Source organism: Homo sapiens, chromosome 3 (genome assembly GCF_000001405.40).
Source record: "Homo sapiens chromosome 3, GRCh38.p14 Primary Assembly".
Classification (NCBI taxonomy): Eukaryota; Metazoa; Chordata; class Mammalia; order Primates; family Hominidae; genus Homo; species Homo sapiens.
The window spans coordinates 55600439-55619064 of NC_000003.12; the positions used below are offsets into that span (position 1 = coordinate 55600439).

Here is an 18626-nt window from a genome sequence, read left to right on the forward strand (position 1 = left end):
ACCCACCCATAGAAGTACCTCTCTGTCATCGTGCAGAAGATGGGGGAAACATTCACGTCTGCCATCTTCTCCCCACCACTCAAGTCCCATTTTTTGTTGATTTATTTGGATTTTCAGATCAAGACATTATTTCTGGTTTTTGCATTATACCCCTTTGAAAAGCCTCTTTTGACATGTGTGCTCTTCACTGATTCCAGTATATGACAGTGGCTTGTGATGCTCAACACCAATTCAGGAAGAGGAATAGAAGCCTAGAAGAGTGCTGTTGGGGGCAGAACACTTGTCCCAGAGAGCAGGGGAGCTCTGCACAAGCTTCAGTGCAGGCCTTTGGAAGTTGTCTGTGTGGACACGGCCTCTGCGCCTCACCTAGAGCCATTAAGTCAGAATCCCTAATGCAGTGCCTGGGCAAGTACCCACGTGGTTCTTATTGGCAGCCTGGGTGATGAGCTGCTGATGTCGCTCCTACTGGCCCTGCCATGTGGCATCTGGATGAGGAGCTGGGGAGGCAAATCTGGGCATCATTAATACCTGCTGCTGGCCATGGCAAGCTCGCCACAGGCCCTCTTCTGCAGTGCCAAAGCAGGTTCGCACACCATGCGGACGGGGGCTGGGGGTAACACAAACGAAGGAAGTGAGGCAGATGTGAGGAAGGCCACATTGGTGACCAGTAAACTGGAGAGGGCTGGCTGGACAAAGGAGATTGCTGGGGCAATCTCGTGGGAATATAGCTCGCTATAACCAGATCATCTGTTTTTTTCCAAAAACCCAGAAAGCCAGAATCGTATATTATATTTTCCGGTTTTTGGAACACTCTGAGCCAAACAAAATGCCATCTAGGCAGAACTGGCTTATAAGCTCCATATGTGACTCCAGGCTTAAATTCTTCATGTCCACAGAAATTGCCCTTTTATTTTAATCAAAAAAGTCCTCCTCAGAAACAGGTCAGGCCTTTCTCAGCAAGTAGAAACCTAGGTGCTCCAAATGACTATCTTCATTAATTTGTTAATTGTTTAAAAAGCTACTCAGACTGCCCTGAAGTTCAGCTGCTCCCTGTCATTTCACATTCACACTGGTTGTGTGCAAACAACCAGCGAGCTGTCCTTCGGCACTGTAAAATGCCACGAGTCCAGGAAACAAGTGCTTCCTGCCTATGGGAGAGCTCTGCCCCTCTGAAGAGAAGCAGACACATTCAGAGCTGGTAGCCTGGACTATCACTCCTAAATAAGAGAAGGATAAAGAGCCGGGGAGCCGGGTGCGGTGGTTTATGTCTGTAAGCACTTTGGGAGGCTGAGGCAAGAGAATCCCTTGAACACAGGAGGTCGAGGCTGCAGTGAGCCATGTTCACACCACTGCACTCTAGACTGGGCTACACAGTGAGTCAGATCCTATCTCAAACAACAAACAAACAAATATTCGGGCCTCTGGAAAAGTCCATCGGACAGGAACACAAAGGGATCCAGATGCCAGAGTAAGTACTCCACTTCCTTTTTAATAACCAGCATCCACTGGGAACTTCCCATGAGCCGGGCTTTGTGTTTTGGCTGCACAGTGAAACAGTAAGTCCTCAATAACTATTTCTGAATGGGTGGATGGATAAATGAATGAATCAGGTATCTCTTCTATTTCACATTCCTGAAATTGAACCTTAGCATTGTGAGGGCACTTAGATTTGCAAAATCTCTTCCTTCCTTTGTCAACAATTTTCAAGAGCCAGATCTGTGCAAAGTCAGTGTGTGAGAGACTGAGAAAACAACAAAGAATCTGCCGTCAAACTGCGTCCTGGACAGAAGGACATGTGAGACCTGTGAAAGATGCCTCTGGATCCAGAGGGCAGTGAGAGAAGGCAGTTCTCTGGGAAGATTCCTGAAGATGCTCACAACCCTTCCCTAAAAGCCATACAAATCCCTCCATGGAATAGTGAATGTCCACTGCAGGCAGCTTTGCTCTCAAGGAGGAGACCAGCAGAGGCTGCCCTGAAAAGGAGGTATCTCAGACAGAGGCACCATAAGAGTTGGAGGAACCAGGAAAACAACCAAAAACAGGTACCACGGTGCTGATGTCATGCTAGGACAGTGCATCTACTATTAGTGGACACTTGGAAATCTCAGTCTCTGCAGGAGAAGCGCTCTGCCGCTGGGGTTCACTCTGTGGCAGTGTTGCTCAGGAGGTTCTCTGCTGTGTAGCCTCTGTGGGCAGAACCCTAGCTATTGTGGGACATGATGCCAGCTCCCCGGGGACATTTTCCCTTGCCCCCCTTCCCATGCTACCACAACCTAACACAACCTAACACCTAAGCCATCAGATGTTCATTCACCCCCCCAATGAACGCCTGATCATCTTTCATTTCATGGTCTTAACCTCATGTCTCTCCTTGCCAGCTCCAGAGAGGACTTGTTTACCTCTTCTATGCTGTGCTAGTTTCTGTACTCATCCTTCAGAGTGTGTTTCAAAGTGTGAAAATGTAGCTATTTGCTAAATCCTGCCCAGCCTCTGGCTGTGGGTTCTCAGAGGGTGGGACAGGGCATGCCTGTCTTGTCCCTACTCACAAGAGAAGACCGAGCATCTCCTTAACAATAAGAAGGGCTCCCTCATATATCCACAGAGCTTAAGGTAGTAAGGATATTCTTACTCCTCATGCTGGGATATCTTTACCAGGTAAGGAGAAGCTGGGAGACCTTAAGAAGCATTTCCCCCTTCCCTACCTCCATGACTTCTCTGTTCTACAGATCTCAAATGAAAGGCTTCCTAATGAGCAAATAATGTCTAAAACCAGAGATACTATGTTTATAAAATAATAGCCTGTTATTGTGAAACTTAGAGCTAGAGATAGTCAAAACAAAAATAAGACAAAAAGTCCAAAAACCATTGCCCTTGTTCTTGGATCCAGAAGTCCTAAATTTTTAAGAAGCCGCAGCCGGGTGCGGTGGCTCACGCCTGTAATCCCAGCACTTTGGGAGGCCGAGGCAGGCGGATCACAAGGTCAGGAGATTGAGACCATCCTGGCTAACATGGTGAAAACCCATCTGTACTAAAAATACAAAAAATTAGCCAGGCGTGGTGGTGGACGCCTGTAGTCCCAGCTACTCGGGAGGCTGAGGCAGGAGAACTGCGTGAACCCCATCTTACTGCAAGCAGGTGGAGCTTGCAGTGAGCTGAGATAGTGCCACTGCACTCCAGCCTGGGTGACGGAGTGAGACTCTGTCTCAAAAAAAAAAAAAAAAAAAGCCCTTTGCCTCAAATCCAATTCATTTTTTGAAACAAATCATATTTGAAATGTGTGTTTCTCCCTGTCTCATTATGAAGAAAATCCTGAGATACAGTATTTTCACATTCCATAAAAATCTGAACAGCTGCTTTATACACAAATCACACGGTATACATGATATCCCAAAGATCAAAACTGGCATTCATAGATAATCTTTTAAAAAGACAAAATCCAATGAATATGGTCACCATCCTTTCTAAAACTTGAATAAAGACAGTAAAAATAATTCACTGACTCCATCAATATTCTTGTGCAAAACAGATGATTTCACCCCCCCCAGCATGTCTCTCCGGCCACGTTTATTCAGTTCCCACTGTGCCTGCCAGGCTGACTCTCAGAGAGAGAAAGCAATGAAAATATATTACACTAAGATGAAACTAAACGACTTTAATATTTCCTTAATGATTCAACAAATCCTTTCAGACTTTGCTAGCATTGTGAGGGCATTTGGATTTGCAGAATCTCTTCTTTCATTTGTCCACGATTTTTGAGGGCCAGATCTGTGTGAAGTCAGTGTGTGAGGGATGAAGAAAACAACCGAGACCCTCCCCTCAAACTGTGTCCTAGGCAGAAGGACACCTGAGACGTGTGAAAGGCTTAAAGGTGAGGCCATTAATATTGATTATGCTATTAATATATTACACATCTATATATATAAATATCAATAATATTAACCAGTGGAGAGAGTAGCTTAGGAATATTTTATAATGTGAAAAAAATACTTCAGTGTCCAAGTCTCTTATTTAACCTTTACAATTCTCTCTACCCTACTTCCCTTTTCTCTATGTTCCTGCTGACACTACACTCAGCAGGCATGTCTGAGGATGAGAAAGAAGGCCAGTGCAGCATGGCACGGCACTGGGGGAGGGAGAGAACAGCAACAGATGAGGTTGGGAAGGTAGTCAGGGGACAGAGCATGCCAGGCCTTGTAGGCTTGAGCTAAGCATTTACGTTTATTACAAGTACAAAGGGGACTGCCTGGAGGGATTTAAGAAGGGAGTGTATGATGTAATCTACATTTTGTAAAGATCACTCTGCCAACTTGCCTGATGAATTTATGCCTTATGCCCTTGATCAGATCACAAGGAGCTGGATGGTAGGGCCATACGTAGTTACTCTCCCTTTAATACCCCCACATCATGGACTGGTAGAATGTTAAACCAGTGGCTCTCAAACTTTCCTGTGTATCAGGATCATCCAGAGGCCCATTTAAACACATCTTGTTGGACTCCATCTACAGAGATTCTGATTCGGTAGGTCTGGGCAAAACCTGAGAATTTACATTACTAAGAAGTCCCCAGGTGATGCGAGGATGCCAGTGGCTCTTCAAGGCACTGCACTTAGAGAACCTGTTTAAATCTGTTTGCAGAATAAATCAATCAGTGAAGAAACATGCAAATTTTTTTTTTTTTTTAGTTGGTTATTTGTTTTTGAGACGGTCTCACTCTGTCGCCCATGCTGGGCTGCAGTGGCATGATCATGGCTCAGTGCAGCCTTGAACTTCTGGGCTCAAGGGATCCTACAGACTCAGCCTCCTAATTAGCTGGAACTACAGGCATGCACCACCATGCCTAGCCAATTATTTTATTCTTTTGTTGCCCAGGCTGGTCTCCAACTCCTGGCCTCAAGTGATCCTCCCACCTCAGCCTCCCCAGTCACTGGGATTACAGACATCAGCCACCATGACTGGTGAAAATATTTTTAAAACAAACAACAGAAATAATCAGTGGTTTGAATTTTATGTAAAATACAATCATTCATTCTTTTTCTTTTTAAGAATTATTCTTTTCAATCTATAATGTGATGATAACAAAAGGACTAATCATTGCATACGGAAGTACTCTGAAAGGAAATAGATCATTGTGATTAGGCAAGATGAGACACTTCAGAGGCTGTACTGCCAAGTTTAATTATAAAATTAAGTGTCATTCAAAGAAATTTTTATTGCAAAAGTATGTGATTTACTTCTGTAGGCAGTTATTACAATACTGCCTCAATCCAGAAGGAATATGAGATGGTGAGGCATCTCTTGGTTCAATTCCAAAACTGAAAATTAAACTACAATTTCCTTAGAACTCAGGAATAAAACTCATCATGGCTCATTCTGTTTGGTTCAAAGTGTACAACATTGATGAACATATCTACTGTAAAAGCAAGTAGATTCAAACTCTCTTCCTAGGAGGAACCCCCAAAGATTCCAACTTAGGTACTTATTATGCCAAAGCAAAAATGCAACTCAAGAATGCAGAGTAAATACAGACTCAGAGCCAACAGATGAGAATAAAAGTCAGACCCAGGAGAGTTGAGTACAGACGGTTGCACAAGAAGCATAAGGCCAATGCCCTATGGTCTCTGTGGGTTTATTCTTTTCTGCCACATGTGAGGCTTCGGTTTCCATGTACCAATGTCCATCTACTCAGAAATCATGATTGCAGGCCAATCAACAACAGATAGTCCAAACTCCGTGATGGCTTGGGGTTTAGGGGTTCAGTAGGAAGCTCTCTGGCCTGAAGCCTGAAAAGTCACAGGTTCATATTCTGCTTAGGGAAGGAGCTGGTTAGGTATATCCAAAATCATATAGGGCTAGTGAAATCTCATCTATTCATTCAGTAGTTACTCTGGATCTCATGGTCTAAGAAGTCAACTGGGCTGGGCTAGGGGGTAGAGGAAGATTCAAAACATCAAAAGCCACAAAATCAAAACAAGAAAAAGTGTTGAAAATCATAGGCCTTGGAAAGCAAATAGTAAATGTAATAGTCATTAAGTAGCAACCAATGACCAACCTTCCTCTCTGTCCATGTAGCAAGATCCAAACAACACTGTGTGGCCACCATGAGGCTGACACAACAATTTACATCATGTGGATGATGGACCTAGATTATTGTTCTACACTGGTGGGAATCATGGAACAGTCTGGCTGTGAATTAAATACAAAAATAGCAACTCCTACACTCTAGCAAAATGTAAAGTACATGTGAGCCCCCAAATCCAAGCTCATTATGCAGAGTCTCTCTGAAACCCAGCACCCAGCATTTGCCGTTACCCACCTCCAAAAGGGTAAAAGTAAACATTGGACCTGCTCTGGTGTTAAACTGCCACCGGATCCTCCCCGCTGTCTCCCTCCTCCTCTTCTTCTTTACAGACAGGTAATGTTGGATCTCGAAGGAACTGGGGGCTCCCACTCTAGGCAAAGGTTGGACAGGTGATCAATGTACAGCATGAGATTTGGCTGTGCCTACGTGCCTCCGACAGAGCTGGATCATCTGGGACAATGAAAATTATGAAAATTATAAGCAACAAGAAAGCAGTATTAACAGCAAGGGCAGGGAAACCAGGACAGCACATACCACAGTTCCTAGGACACCCAGCAACCATTCCTCTCCTCATTCAGTCATTCTACACACATTCATTAAGCATGGTGCCAGGCTCTGGAGATATCGTAGTGACAAATAGGAACACAGACCCTGCCCCCATGGAGCTTATGGGGTATGTGGGAGAAAGACCAGACAGGCAGTTACAGGACAGCGGGTAAGGAAACCTAGAGGGTGCCATGGAGCACAAAGCAAAGGCAGCCAACCCAGACTGGGGGTGAGTGGTCAGGGAAGGCTTCCTGGGAAGAAGTGACATGTAACGCTGAGCCTGGAGAACCCATGGAGTTAGCCAGCCAAGACTGGGGTGGGTCAGCACGTGCGAGATTCCTGAGAATCTTTGGCTGGTCCGAAGGGCTGAAAGTCCTTTGTTCTCAGCCATTCTGCAGCCTGTAATCCTACATCCAACCAGAGCACCCAGATTTGGAGTCTGCAGCCCTGATTACAGGAGGAACTGGTGCTCCTCCAATGCCCACAATCCAGTTGCATTTTGACTTCTGCCAGTGGGATCTCAGGAAACTAAAGAACTTAGAAAATAGTGTGTTTTTTTTTTTTTTTTCTATAAGAAGAGAGAAAAAAAAAACAATAATGCAGAGTTGAACTGCTACGGAATAGACCCAATTGCAGCAATCCTTTCTGCACACCAGCATCGGGGTAAGGGAGATGCCATCCTCATGGAGACTGTTGAAACAGACAAGAAGGTGGATCACAGTTTGGTATCACAATACGGGAGCCCACTTTGCCCCTTCCTTTCCTCCAAGTCCCTGAGAAATTGCAGAGGGAGCGCTTTGTTCTTCTTACCCTTGGTGTTGACGTCTAAAAGGCTATCGCAGACATGATACCTCCCACTTGCCTGATGCAACTAGGGGAAACCAGATAGCTTATGAAGCCAATCTTGTCAGGAGCCTCCATGTGGGGGAAAAAAAAACAAAACAAAAAACCCCCTAAAGGCTGGGAAAGTCCCAGCAGCTTGAATATTGCCCAGGACTCTAGCTACCTTTGCATTACGAAAGAGACCACTGGAGAGGATGGCTTAAGACTGGGTAGTAAGCATGTGGTCATTTGACCAAAGACACGTAGTCCAAAGTAGCTTTCTGTTTTAATATTATCATATGATCCAAGTCCTACAAACAACATCCTTGACTGAAATCGAAAAGAAACAAAACCCTCACTTCTAAGAAGCAGAGCAAGCGGCGTTTTTAGAGACAAAGAAAGGATAGCTTCTTAACCTATGACAACACAAATTTGTTTAGGTTTTCCCTCCACCAAGTAAGTAAGCAATTAGGTTTTTTACAATAAAAATATCCCCGTGCATGTGCAAACACCAGAGGCAATCATATAATTACCCTGCCCAATCAGATTCAATTGCTGACAGTTGAGTTCCCACTGCTCATTAACTTCAGATCACAAAGAGGTCTTTAAGGAAGCCCTTTCCTTCTCTTTACAAAGGTTCCTATGATGCCGCGATCAGCCCCGGCACTACCTCATGCAAGATAATCATCCCCAAATCACCAGGGCCAAGGCCAGCCTCCTCTGGCTTCCTTCTGAAAAAATAAAATGAGAAATTCGAAGACACCTTGGCTTAAACACCCTTGCTTCATTTGGGGATCTCACTTCTAAATATAATAGTAACCTTTCACCCCCACATTTTAAGTGCCGTAATTACATAATTAAAACCAATTATGTCATTTAACAGAGACTTTGTCAAGATACGGCAAGCCAATTACCTCAATCATTGACCTCAGAGGATTTCCCACACTGACCTGAAACAGTGAGAATTGGGATAAATTTAGACACTGGCTTCCGAAGGCTGGCATGGACTAGCAGGGTGGGTTGTAACTGGTCTAGATTCTTTGAGACTTTAGAAGCTAAACTGAATTCATTCCCATCTACACCATCACTACTTGTTTGCACAATCCTTCCCATATCCCAAGATAATTGCTTGATTTTTTTATAACCACTCTGATGGAACGATTACTTCCATGTTGCAGACAGAAAAAGGAGGCAGGGAGAGTCCTAAAGTTATCTGAAGTCAAGCAGCTAGTGTTAACAGCAACGCTAGGGCAAGACCTAAGTCTTCCACCACAGAATTCAAAGTCTCCATGTAGCGAGTGGTGTGTGGGTGCCTCTCTTACCCCAATTTCCCTTTGAGGCAACACATTTGCCCCCACTTTTATTTAATTCACCTGCACGGCACAAGGTTCCACTGCAACTCAGGGGGTGTGTCCTAAATTAGGCCCCAGCCAATTAGCTTCCAGCATTCCTCCCCTAGCCACAGCATTGGTTCAGGATGAGCACATGATCCCATCAAAGCCAATGAGAGACACTGACACTTTTTGCAGGGCCTGTGCGATCTCTGCCTAACTGTGCTTGGAGTGACCGGAGGGAAGACTGGAAGTTAAGCAGCCATCATGCTCCACTGAGGAAGTGAGGGTGACTGGAGCCAAGAGATGTGGAGGGAGAAACTGGTTCCAGGAAACACCCTCTATTCCCTGTCGCTTCATGCTGCGAGTTACAGGGGTTATTCAAAAGCACACTGGAGAAAGCAGGAAGAGCGCCACCTACAGCTTGGGTAGGCTCCATTTCGAGGATGGAATCAATCCACTGTGGCTCCGAGGCCTGCCTCCTGCTTGCGACAGTTAAATGCCTTCGGTTTTTGAGTTATTTAAAGAACATACCATTTTATGGGCAGGAGGAAGCACTTTAATCTGCAAAATGATTTTTATCACAAACTAAACATCCTTGTAACTTTTTGGTCCTCTGCTTTGGTCAAAGTTGTCTCTCCTTGGAGCTCAGACAGCTGTTGGAGCTCAGAAGATCTGCCTCCACCCTGCACTTTGCCCTGCTCGCTGGTACTCTGGTGCTCTCCAATTCCTGGATCCATGTGGGATGTAAGAACTCAGGATCAGGACGCCTGCACGCATCAAAATGGGGCATTTTCTTTCTCTTTATCCCAGGACTTGAGAGAAAGCAAAAAACAAACAAACACAAACAAAAAAAAAAAAAAAAAAAACAAGAATTCCTCTAATTTAAGGTTTTTAACCTTGACACTTGAAGTTTTGGGCCAGACAATTATTTGTCATCAGGACTGCTTTGTGCAATGTAGGATATTCCTGGCCTCTACCCACTAGATGACCCATTAGCACCCCTCATTTGGGACAACCAAAAATGTCCGTGGACATTGACAAATAACCAGGGATGGGGGCCAAGATCCCCCCTCATTCCCCAGCTCCCCATTTCCTGGTTAAAAACCACTGCTGACAGCATCTTTAAAAACATAATTCCTTGTAGTATTATGTTGTGAGACTGAGAGAACCACCACCCTCCTTAGAACTTTACAAAAGCCATATAAAATATCCCCTGAGGAGAACTGACTTAAAGAAACTTCAAGATAGCAGCCTGCGCAACATAGTGAAATCCCATCTCTACGGAAAAACACACACACACACACACACACACACACACACACACACACACAAAGTAGCCAGGCATGGTGGCACGAACCTGTAGTACCAACTATCCGGAAGGCTGAGGCTGAGGTGGGAGGATTCCTTGAGCCTCGGAGGTCAAGGCTGCAGTGAGCCCTGATGGTGCCACTGCACTCCAGCTTGGCCGACAGAACGAGACCTTGACTCCAAAATAGCAATACTACTGTCTGTCAGGGCTATGAAGCCACATGAGACTTGACCCATTAAGGACAAGAGTGAAGAAAAATGTATCAAATAGAAATAATTTTATCTAAACACTGGCAAGAGGAAAAAGACATGGAGGAGAAACTTAGAAATGAAAAGCAGTGAGGCATCTATATGGTGAGTTCCAGCATGGGTGCTCAGCTTCTCACTTTCACAAGTAAGAAAATGGAACTTTAAGGTTATTGCTGGGTTTCCGGGATTCAAAACCCAAAGCTAAAAATGTGGAAGAGGTTGGTGTTATCAGAAATGATCTTTCCAGTAAACGCCTAAAACTCACTCACTCTGCAGAAAAAGCCAAAAATGGTAAAGCTTCACTTATTTGGACAAATGTGGGAGAAGTCATTTAAAATAAGCAAAATTGATGGATTTATAGAATATTTTTCAAGGGAAGGCATTTACTTGCTTTCAAATGCCAGCAGTAATTAAGAGTGAGCTGGCAGAGGTCCCTCCTTCAGGATTGGTTTGAATGAGAAGACAGAATTTATTGAACTAATTTAAGCATTGTTAGGCTGGGAAGGAGGGCTTTGAGTTAGATTGTCCTCTCCGTGAGCTAATTAGTTGTATCTACACACAGGCAGCTGGCTGAGACCAGCCCAGGAATTCCAGAATAGTGGGGTTCCAATGAGGCTTTGCTTCCAGGCACAGACATCTGTGCACCTTGAGGTATTGATCAAGTCAGTCAGGAGAAGCAGGCTGGCTTGTGTGTGAAGGCTGGGCTGTTTGGGGGCCTCACTGTGTGAAAAGATTTGGATTCTAGCAGTTTCTTTCTCTACAAGATCTAATGTCTGGAGAGATGGAGAGGCCTATTAGGGGAGTTCAGATGACTGGAGCTGGGACATCACTGCTTCTTCAGGTCCCAGGCAGCCTCCCCTCCAGCTATCAGCATGTCTCGGCTATCCCATGCTGTCCCCTCAATCTCCAACTGCCCTCCTTTCTCTCCATCACCAGAGAAATGTGACTGCCTAGGGAGCAACCATGTCTTGAAAGGAGAAAGAGCAAGAATAAAGGTGTCTCTGAGGGGCCTTGCTTCTCTTCCCCTAGTTCTTTTAGGCATTTTGTTTTGTTTCATTTGGATAAGAGCTAACATTTAGAACAATAATAGAAAATAGAAGTACTTGTCTGGAGGGTCTAGCAGAGGTCCACAGTGACTCTTATGAGCTGTATAAAGGACTGTCCCTTCTGGAGTCTAGTAATCAAATCTGGAGGAGTAGTCCTCAAATCTTGTTAGAGAATGAAGTTCTCAGGGTACACTCTTCCTGGCTAAGCAATCCCATCCCAGCCCCTCTCTACTGAAATCATTCATCCTGGTCAAGTGTGTTTCTCAGAATACCTGGGTATGTCAACAGAGATAAAAGAGAAGTGCAGCACACTTCCTAGTTTCAGCTGGCACTAAAACAAGAGAATGAGTTGTGCGTTTTTTGGTGGAGGTGCCTCCTGATCGAGTCTACACACTGGCTTGTGAACATGTTGTCTGTACTGAAGAACTTATCCCAAAAAGGTGGCTCCACTTACACCATAGACAAGTACTGTCCTTCCCATGTCCTTTCAGCATGAACTGAGAGAGGGGCAGTCTCAAAGTGGCAGGTGTCACAAGAGGTCACTCTCATAATCAACAACTGAAGACTTCCCAAAACAGCAACTCCTTGCTTTTGCCCCAGGTAAGCCTTATTCCCAGCATCAAGAAAAGGATTTTAATGGTGTGTGGACTCCTGGTTCAGGTAGAAGTTGGTATCCAGAGATGTCATTCCTTATTTATCAAGTACTTATTCAGCAGGTCCAGAAATGTTATGCAAAATTTGGTGTTCATGCTTATATACTTTATTCTGAGGAGCAGAATTATGGTAACCATATTCTTAAAGTAGTTTGAAGCTCAGAATTAAAAATTAAGCAACAGTTGGCATAAAGCAATCCCTTAATTTTTTTTTTACCAGTTTTTCCGAGGCAAAATTTACATACCATCAAGGTCATCCATGGTAAGTGTAAAGTTCAACGATTTTAAGTAAACTTATAGAATTGTGCGATCAGCACCACAAACCAGTTTTAGAATGTATCTACTATCTCCAAAAGACCCTGCAACTGTTACAGTAAACTTCCCTTAATTTTTGCAGCAAATGTTCTAGAGTTGAAAAGAAAGCTCTTTCTACATCTGCAAGGCTGATTCATTTTTCTCCCTTCCAAGAACTCTACTAAAAAAATTATTTGTTGCTTATCTGAAATGCAAATGTAACTGGATGTCCTGTATTTGTGAAATTCCGGCAACCCTAATCCAGGACCAAAGCAGAATTAACCAAATAAATGAAAGTGCATGTCTAGAAATAAATGTACTTTTCTGGAGCATTGTAAATAAACATGAATTATTTTCCTAGTTTTGAACCATTTGAGTTCTAAGATGGTCAGAACCTAGTTCCAGTTAGAATACCAGCTGAGAACTAAGCTACAGAGACAGCCTGAATAATTCACAACCCAATTGCTGTTTTACAAGCAAGCCTGGGACCTCAGACACTCATAGGATTATATGCTACATTTCCCTTGAAAGGTTAAAGTGGATGTAATTGTTAACCTTGCAGCTCACAATCAGAACTGGAAATGTGACTTTTAGGGGCACAAATTATAGGGAAATCATTCTTAACCTTTTTGGGGGGCGGTGTCACAAACTCCTTTGGGAGAATCTGATAAAAGCTATGGACCTTCACCATAGGAAAATGCGTGTATACACATTCACAACATTTTCCAGGTAATTTTCTTTTAGGTGGGAGAGGTTTCACAGATTCCATGACATTGTTCATGGAAAATTCAAGGGTGCAAGAGCCTGGGCAAGTTGATTAAAACCATCCTGGATTCTTATGCCTTGCTTTTCTCTTCCTCCTGTTTGTGTGGGAAGTGAAGAAGTCGGGATAATGGCAAGGGAACTGACTAACTCAAGACGTGGCTGTGGCCGGGCGTGGTGGCTCATGCCTATAATCCCAGCATTTTGGGAGGCCAAGGTGGGTGGATCACCTGAGGGTCAGGAGTTCAAGACCAGCTTGGCCAACATGGTGAAAACCCCATCTCTACTAAAAAATACAAAAAATCAGCTGGGTGTGGTGGTGGGCAACGTAATCCCAGCTACTTGGGAGGCTGAGGCAAGGAGAATTGCTTGAACTCAGGAGGCAGAGGTTGCAGTAAGCCAGGATCGTGCCACTACACTCCAGCCTGGGAGACAGAGTGAGACTTCCTCTCAAAAAAAAAAAAAAAAAAAAAAAAAAAAAAAGAAGACATGGCTGGGCTACTTTTGGCCATCAGTGGTAAGACCTGGAGGAATCTGCCCACACTTCATAGACTTCTGTTCACTGTTGATAAAATGAACAGATCAGCCTGACTCTGTTTTCACAAGTTATATCCTACGGATCTACTGGAAAGGTATCTGGAAAGGGCTCTTTTAGGATCTGAAGCACTGCACAAGATTTTGTAGGAAAAACAAAAGTTTTAAAATCACTAGACTACATGGTCCTCAAAGTCACCAAAATACTCTGAGTTTTAAGCCATCTGATTATCTGATTCTAGATTCTAAAGAGTGGAAGCCAGGTATCAGTTGGGGAGGATCTGGGTATTCTTTTTCTCTGAGTACAAGGAAAAAAGGCATTTGGTAGGGACAGGAGAGAAAGACATCCCAGCCCTCACTACTCTCCAGTTCTGCAACATTTCTTTCTTCCTTTGAGCTGTTCTCCTTCCTTCATATGAAAAACTGTCTACAGGTATGGTAATGGTTGGTCAAAAACTACCCATATTTTTTCTGATAAAATTAAAAAAAAATCCTTTCCCAATTATATGAATTTTCCTTTGGGTGACAAAGATACCCAATGATCTATTATATCATTATATACTACTATGCCAATGATACTAGTAGACCACGTGGATAAAAGACAAATGTGCTCACTCTGAGTTTTATAGATGGCCTCTCTTTAGTGCCTTAGAGGCCCCTACAAAGTAGGCTCCAGTATTATCATCCTCATTTTTTAGAAGAAAAGACTGAGCGGGGAAAAAACGTTGAGTGACTTACACAAATTCACCCACCTAGCCAACAGCAAAATGGGATTTCAGGTCACAGAGCCTATGCTCATACTATGTTGAAGAGAGAAATTATATCACTTACCACTAAAACAAACAAACAAACAGGTTTTATTCACTCATTTTCTCTCAAAAACAACCTACCACTTTAAGGAAGTGTGTTATCACACCCAATGATAGGAACCATAAAACTATTTTGGATGTTTATTTGATACTTATTGATGTTTAAGCAAGCCTACTATGTTCACAGTTATCACCCCAAAGAAAAATATATTATTTAGTTTTTAGGTTTTATCTTATCTGTCCTTGGTCCTTGAAACAGCAAGAGAAACACGTACACTCTGTTCTTACTTGTTGTCATAGGATACCAGCTGCCTGCTGGGAAAAGCATACTGGGAAGTACTGTTCTACACTTTGTATTAAGAGTTAAAAAATAAAATACCCAGAGCCTGTGTAAATCACAGACAAAGTTGACAAATTTCATGGCTTAGTCATGGTTAACATATCAGATTTCATGGCTTGACAGAGATTAACAAGAAAATCATATTAGAATTACAACTATTAGTAGATTCTTAGATATTTGATAGAGAAACTCCAAGCTCTCCAAACGCCATTGCCCACTGCACAGCCCTCTTGTCCTTCCTCCTGTGGATAGAGCCTCCATGAATCCAGGGAGAGCAAATGGGATCTTCCATTGTTGGTCACAATCACCTCACCTCCTGACTATGGCAGGAGTGAGCCAGTGCCTAGTGGGCCCCAGGGAAAGGTCTTAGCATCCGCGAAATAAAGTAAGGTTTAATATTTATAGCCTAATTCATAAAACTGTAAGGAGAAAAAAAATACCTCATTTGTACATAACACAGGTATTTTACCCAATATTACATGCACTAAGGAGAGGAATGAATGATCATTGTTGGAACTATGATATTTTCGGTGAAAATTAAGTTTCCATGTCTTTACGAGGAAGCAATTCAGCAGAGGCCTTGTTGTTAAAAGTGGCATGCGAGCAGGAACTTCAAAAGACCTGCTGACTGCCTGCCGAGCCATTTGGCCGGAGGGCTCTGCATATCCTCTTTCGGGTAAGAGGCAGCTTACTTGTCAACTTTGCATAAAAGACAGCCAATTTGTCAGCCATTTGCTTTAATTTTGTTTCTGAGTCTTCCAACGACAAACTCCATATACCTTCTGGTCTTTAATATCATATATCTGACTGAGGGATGGAAATTCACTCTAGTGTCTCAGGCTGGTTTCCTTCCCAGGCCATCCTCCTGGGTCTTATAGGATGTCCTTAATCAGAACCACATTACTCAGCTAGAGGAAGTCCTTGTGCAGACGCTGGCAAGACACTATGGCAAAAGAGTTTCACAACATGAAAGGTCAGATTGAGAATAAAAGCTGCAGTTATCTGTTGTGTTTTCTTTAGTTGAGAAAATAAAGGCAGGGTGCCTAACTCCTGAGGAACCAAGATTTGGATAAGTAGCAGCCACTTAGGAAAGGAGTTCCATTGGCCGCTGAGTACAATGGCCAGTTGTGGAAATGGAAAGTCCTTAAATTCCAAGTATTCTGGACCTGAGCAAGGATTTTCTCATTTTATACAGATACGTTTTTATATTTCAGTAACACCCTAGACTGGTAAAACAAAAATAGCTACATCTTGTCAAAAAATATAATTGTCACTGGACTGTGTAAATATACACACATATATATATATACACTACATATATGTGTGTTAGATATACACATATACATAATATATATTTTACATATATGTGTTAGACAAATAAAGCACATTTTAATCGTAAAAGCTACCAGTTATTGTGCTTTTTTTTTTTTTTAAGTGCCAGGCACTATGTTAAGCACTTTCCATGCATTATTTAGTCTCTCAACAAACTAGCATGGTAGGGACTAGCTTTGTCCCTATTTTACAAATAGAAAAAACTTGAGATTAGAGAGGAAATTCAAGGCACACAGTTAGACACAGAGCCAGAAGTGGAACCCAGGAGTGCCTGACCCCCGAGCCCAGCAAATTGAACCCTAGCAATTCTCACTTGTTCCATTAAGATGAGTGCCCAAGCTGACTGTGAAAAACAGGGGAGGAGGTGAAGTGATGAGCCATTTCACTTCACTAACACATAGGTGTGAAGGAGTTAGGCGTTACTCCAACCCTGTATCTTCATCCCAGGGAGGCAGCCTGCAGGCTTTGCCGATGGAAGGCAGGGTGTGAGAAAAGGAAGAAGTGATTGCAAAAACCCAAGACCCACCTCCTTTACAAATTTTGCCCAAGATCAGCCTGGCTGGGGAGACTCTGAGAACTCAGAGGGACCAGAGGACTTAATGGAAATCTGTCCCTCACCCAGTTTCAAACTGATAGCCTTCCCTTCTCATGCAAGGGGCTTGCCCTAGAGATTTGGGGCAAGAAATATTTCCAGTGCGCCTCTACCTTAACTCACACCACAGGGGCAGCTAACAATTACAGAAGGAATGAACTTTTTCATCAAATGTCCTTCCATAAAACCATTTCCCAGGAAATGGAACACAGCATGAAGCAAGCCGACTGCAATTTTCCACCAACAATGAGCATCGTGGGGCACAGGTACTATATTTAAACAATTTTCCTCCAGCGTTTTGGCAAGGCTGTCTCTCAAGGAGACTTACCAAGTTGGGCTGAGGTCTCATTCCCCTCCGGCCAGCAGGATCAGAATGTTTAATATGGCCCTGTCTCTTCAACACCCATGTGTAAACCACCAATAAACAAGCCAGGAAAGACCTGCAGGCCTAATTGCCTTTTAACTCTGCCAAGATGATAAACTCCCAGAGCAAAGAAGGAAAGACTTCCAGGGATTTAACAAGTTTATCTGCCTGCCACTTGAACATTTTCTGTCTGCCTACACTTCAGTGAATTCACCAATAAAAGGATAAAAGGGCCCAGAATGTCAGACCCCTCAAATGACCAAGAAGTTCCACATTCAAAACGTATGACCAGCAAAAATTAACCAGTTAATTGAGCTTCATTTTAGGTGTTTTTAAGATCTGGAGCAAGGGAAGTGGGGCCACTTGACTCTTTCTAGCACTGGCCATTTCTCTTTTATTGACCAAGGCCTAGAAATCTTTACTTACAATAAAGAAAATTGTTTTCACAAGGAAACTGGGATAGGCAACCCATTCTGAAACCTCTAAAATTTTAGATAGAGCATTATACTGACAGGAGAGAAACTATACAAATCTCGGTGGTGGGAGAAATGGAGTATATCATATGGGCAGTCATAAGATTGGTGTTTACTTCTGTAAAGATATTTTTCATCTCTCCCTGAACCAACTTGCAAATTAAGCATGTTGGTTGTTTTTGTTGGTTTGTACCCTACCACCCAGAAGAAAAATACTGAGAGCTCTTTACCTATTGGAGTTAAATTGGAAAAGCAAAGCAACACCAAACAAAGAGACTTGGGGTAAGTACAGAGAGGTGGTGCCATTCAAGGCATTAAAGCAGGGTGAATGGGCATCACCTCTGGGAGGCCATTTCACAATCTTTATCAATATTAATGTGCAACTTCCCTTTTAGGAATTTATTCCAAAGAAATTATTGGCTAAGTGAATAAAGGTTAAGCCCAAAAGGCTTTAGGGAATTCTACTAGGGAACATTTTAAAACATCTAAAGTTCACCATTAATAACTGGCTAAAGAATGCAAAATTCCATACTCCGTTACTATAAAAATGATTCCATAGGTGTATATTTATTAATGTGGAAAGTGTCCAACATACAATGTTAAGTTCAAAAAGCAGATTATAAAAACATTTATAATATAATCCCATTCTTTTTAAGAGTCTATATATAGTAAAATTAGAAAGATACATAGTTCACCAAAATGTTAGTATTTCTGGATGGTGGATTAGAGGGGACTTTTATTTTCTTTGGCAAAGATTTTTGAATTATTTGAAATGTTTAATGAGAAAAATGCATTGCCTTTAGAAATGTTAAAACACTAAAGCAGAACAATAAAATTGAATAAAAACAAAACATTCCCACCACCATCATTACTGTCCTGATCAACAGGAAAAGCTGAAACAACATCATGGGAAGACCCAGCTATCCTTTCTCGAGGAGGCAGGAGTAGAGAACGCTGATGGATTTGGTCTTGCCTTATCAGCACATATAACTGTTGTTCAAGCGTAGTCTCCAGTGAGATGCGAATGGAATGGTAAAACCACAAGTGGGCTCAAAATCCCAACAGGTGTCTTCTCCAGGGGACCCAGGTG

The 18626-nt window shown here is 42.9% G+C and overlaps 1 protein-coding gene and 1 long non-coding RNA gene across 22 annotated transcripts in view, besides 3 other annotated features; one reads left to right on the forward strand and one right to left on the reverse strand.

Moving 5' to 3' along the window:
* The window catches only part of ERC2 (ELKS/RAB6-interacting/CAST family member 2), a 960157-nt gene that overhangs the window by 92128 nt on the left and 849403 nt on the right, over window positions 1-18626 (reverse strand). For 11 of the 19 annotated variants that reach the window (NR_132749.2, XM_017006156.2, XM_017006148.2 and 8 more), the window contains one exon: window positions 6342-6528. The exons of 3 other annotated variants lie outside the window; for them this stretch is intronic. Coding sequence is in view for 15 of the 16 variants with exons in the window: in XM_017006156.2 (XP_016861645.1) it covers window positions 6472-6528 (57 nt within the window). In the remaining variant the exon portion in view is untranslated. Of the gene's footprint in view, window positions 1-6312; window positions 6529-18626 lie in introns of all 19 variants that reach the window. 5 more of the 19 variants (XM_047447950.1, XM_047447948.1, XM_047447946.1 and 2 more) reach the window with 1 other exon arrangement.
* ERC2-AS1 (ERC2 antisense RNA 1) lies at window positions 7183-12659 on the forward strand. 3 transcript variants are annotated; one of them, XR_007095920.1, is made up of 4 exons: window positions 10301-10442; window positions 11875-11983; window positions 12257-12298; window positions 12434-12519. It is a non-coding gene; the product is annotated as an ERC2 antisense RNA 1 (long non-coding RNA). The 3 variants fall into 3 exon arrangements; XR_007095922.1 differs by lacking the exon at window positions 11875-11983 and having other exon boundaries at window positions 7183-10442; window positions 12434-12659; XR_007095921.1 differs by lacking the exon at window positions 12257-12298 and having other exon boundaries at window positions 12434-12506.
* Window positions 7426-7665: an enhancer, noted in NCBI's record as "active region_19976". NCBI's record gives its function as "activates an Ori minimal core promoter by ATAC-STARR-seq in GM12878 lymphoblastoid cells {active_cell/tissue: GM12878}" and the evidence as "EXISTENCE:reporter gene assay evidence [ECO:0000049][PMID:35858748]".
* Window positions 14580-15355: an enhancer, noted in NCBI's record as "OCT4-NANOG-H3K27ac hESC enhancer chr3:55649046-55649821 (GRCh37/hg19 assembly coordinates)". NCBI's record gives its function as "activates a minimal SCP1, AML or CMV promoter by ChIP-STARR-seq in naive and primed H9 embryonic stem cells {active_cell/tissue: H9 hESC(naive and primed)}" and the evidence as "EXISTENCE:reporter gene assay evidence [ECO:0000049][PMID:30033119]".
* Window positions 15356-16130: an enhancer, noted in NCBI's record as "OCT4-NANOG-H3K27ac hESC enhancer chr3:55649822-55650596 (GRCh37/hg19 assembly coordinates)". NCBI's record gives its function as "activates a minimal SCP1, AML or CMV promoter by ChIP-STARR-seq in naive and primed H9 embryonic stem cells {active_cell/tissue: H9 hESC(naive and primed)}" and the evidence as "EXISTENCE:reporter gene assay evidence [ECO:0000049][PMID:30033119]".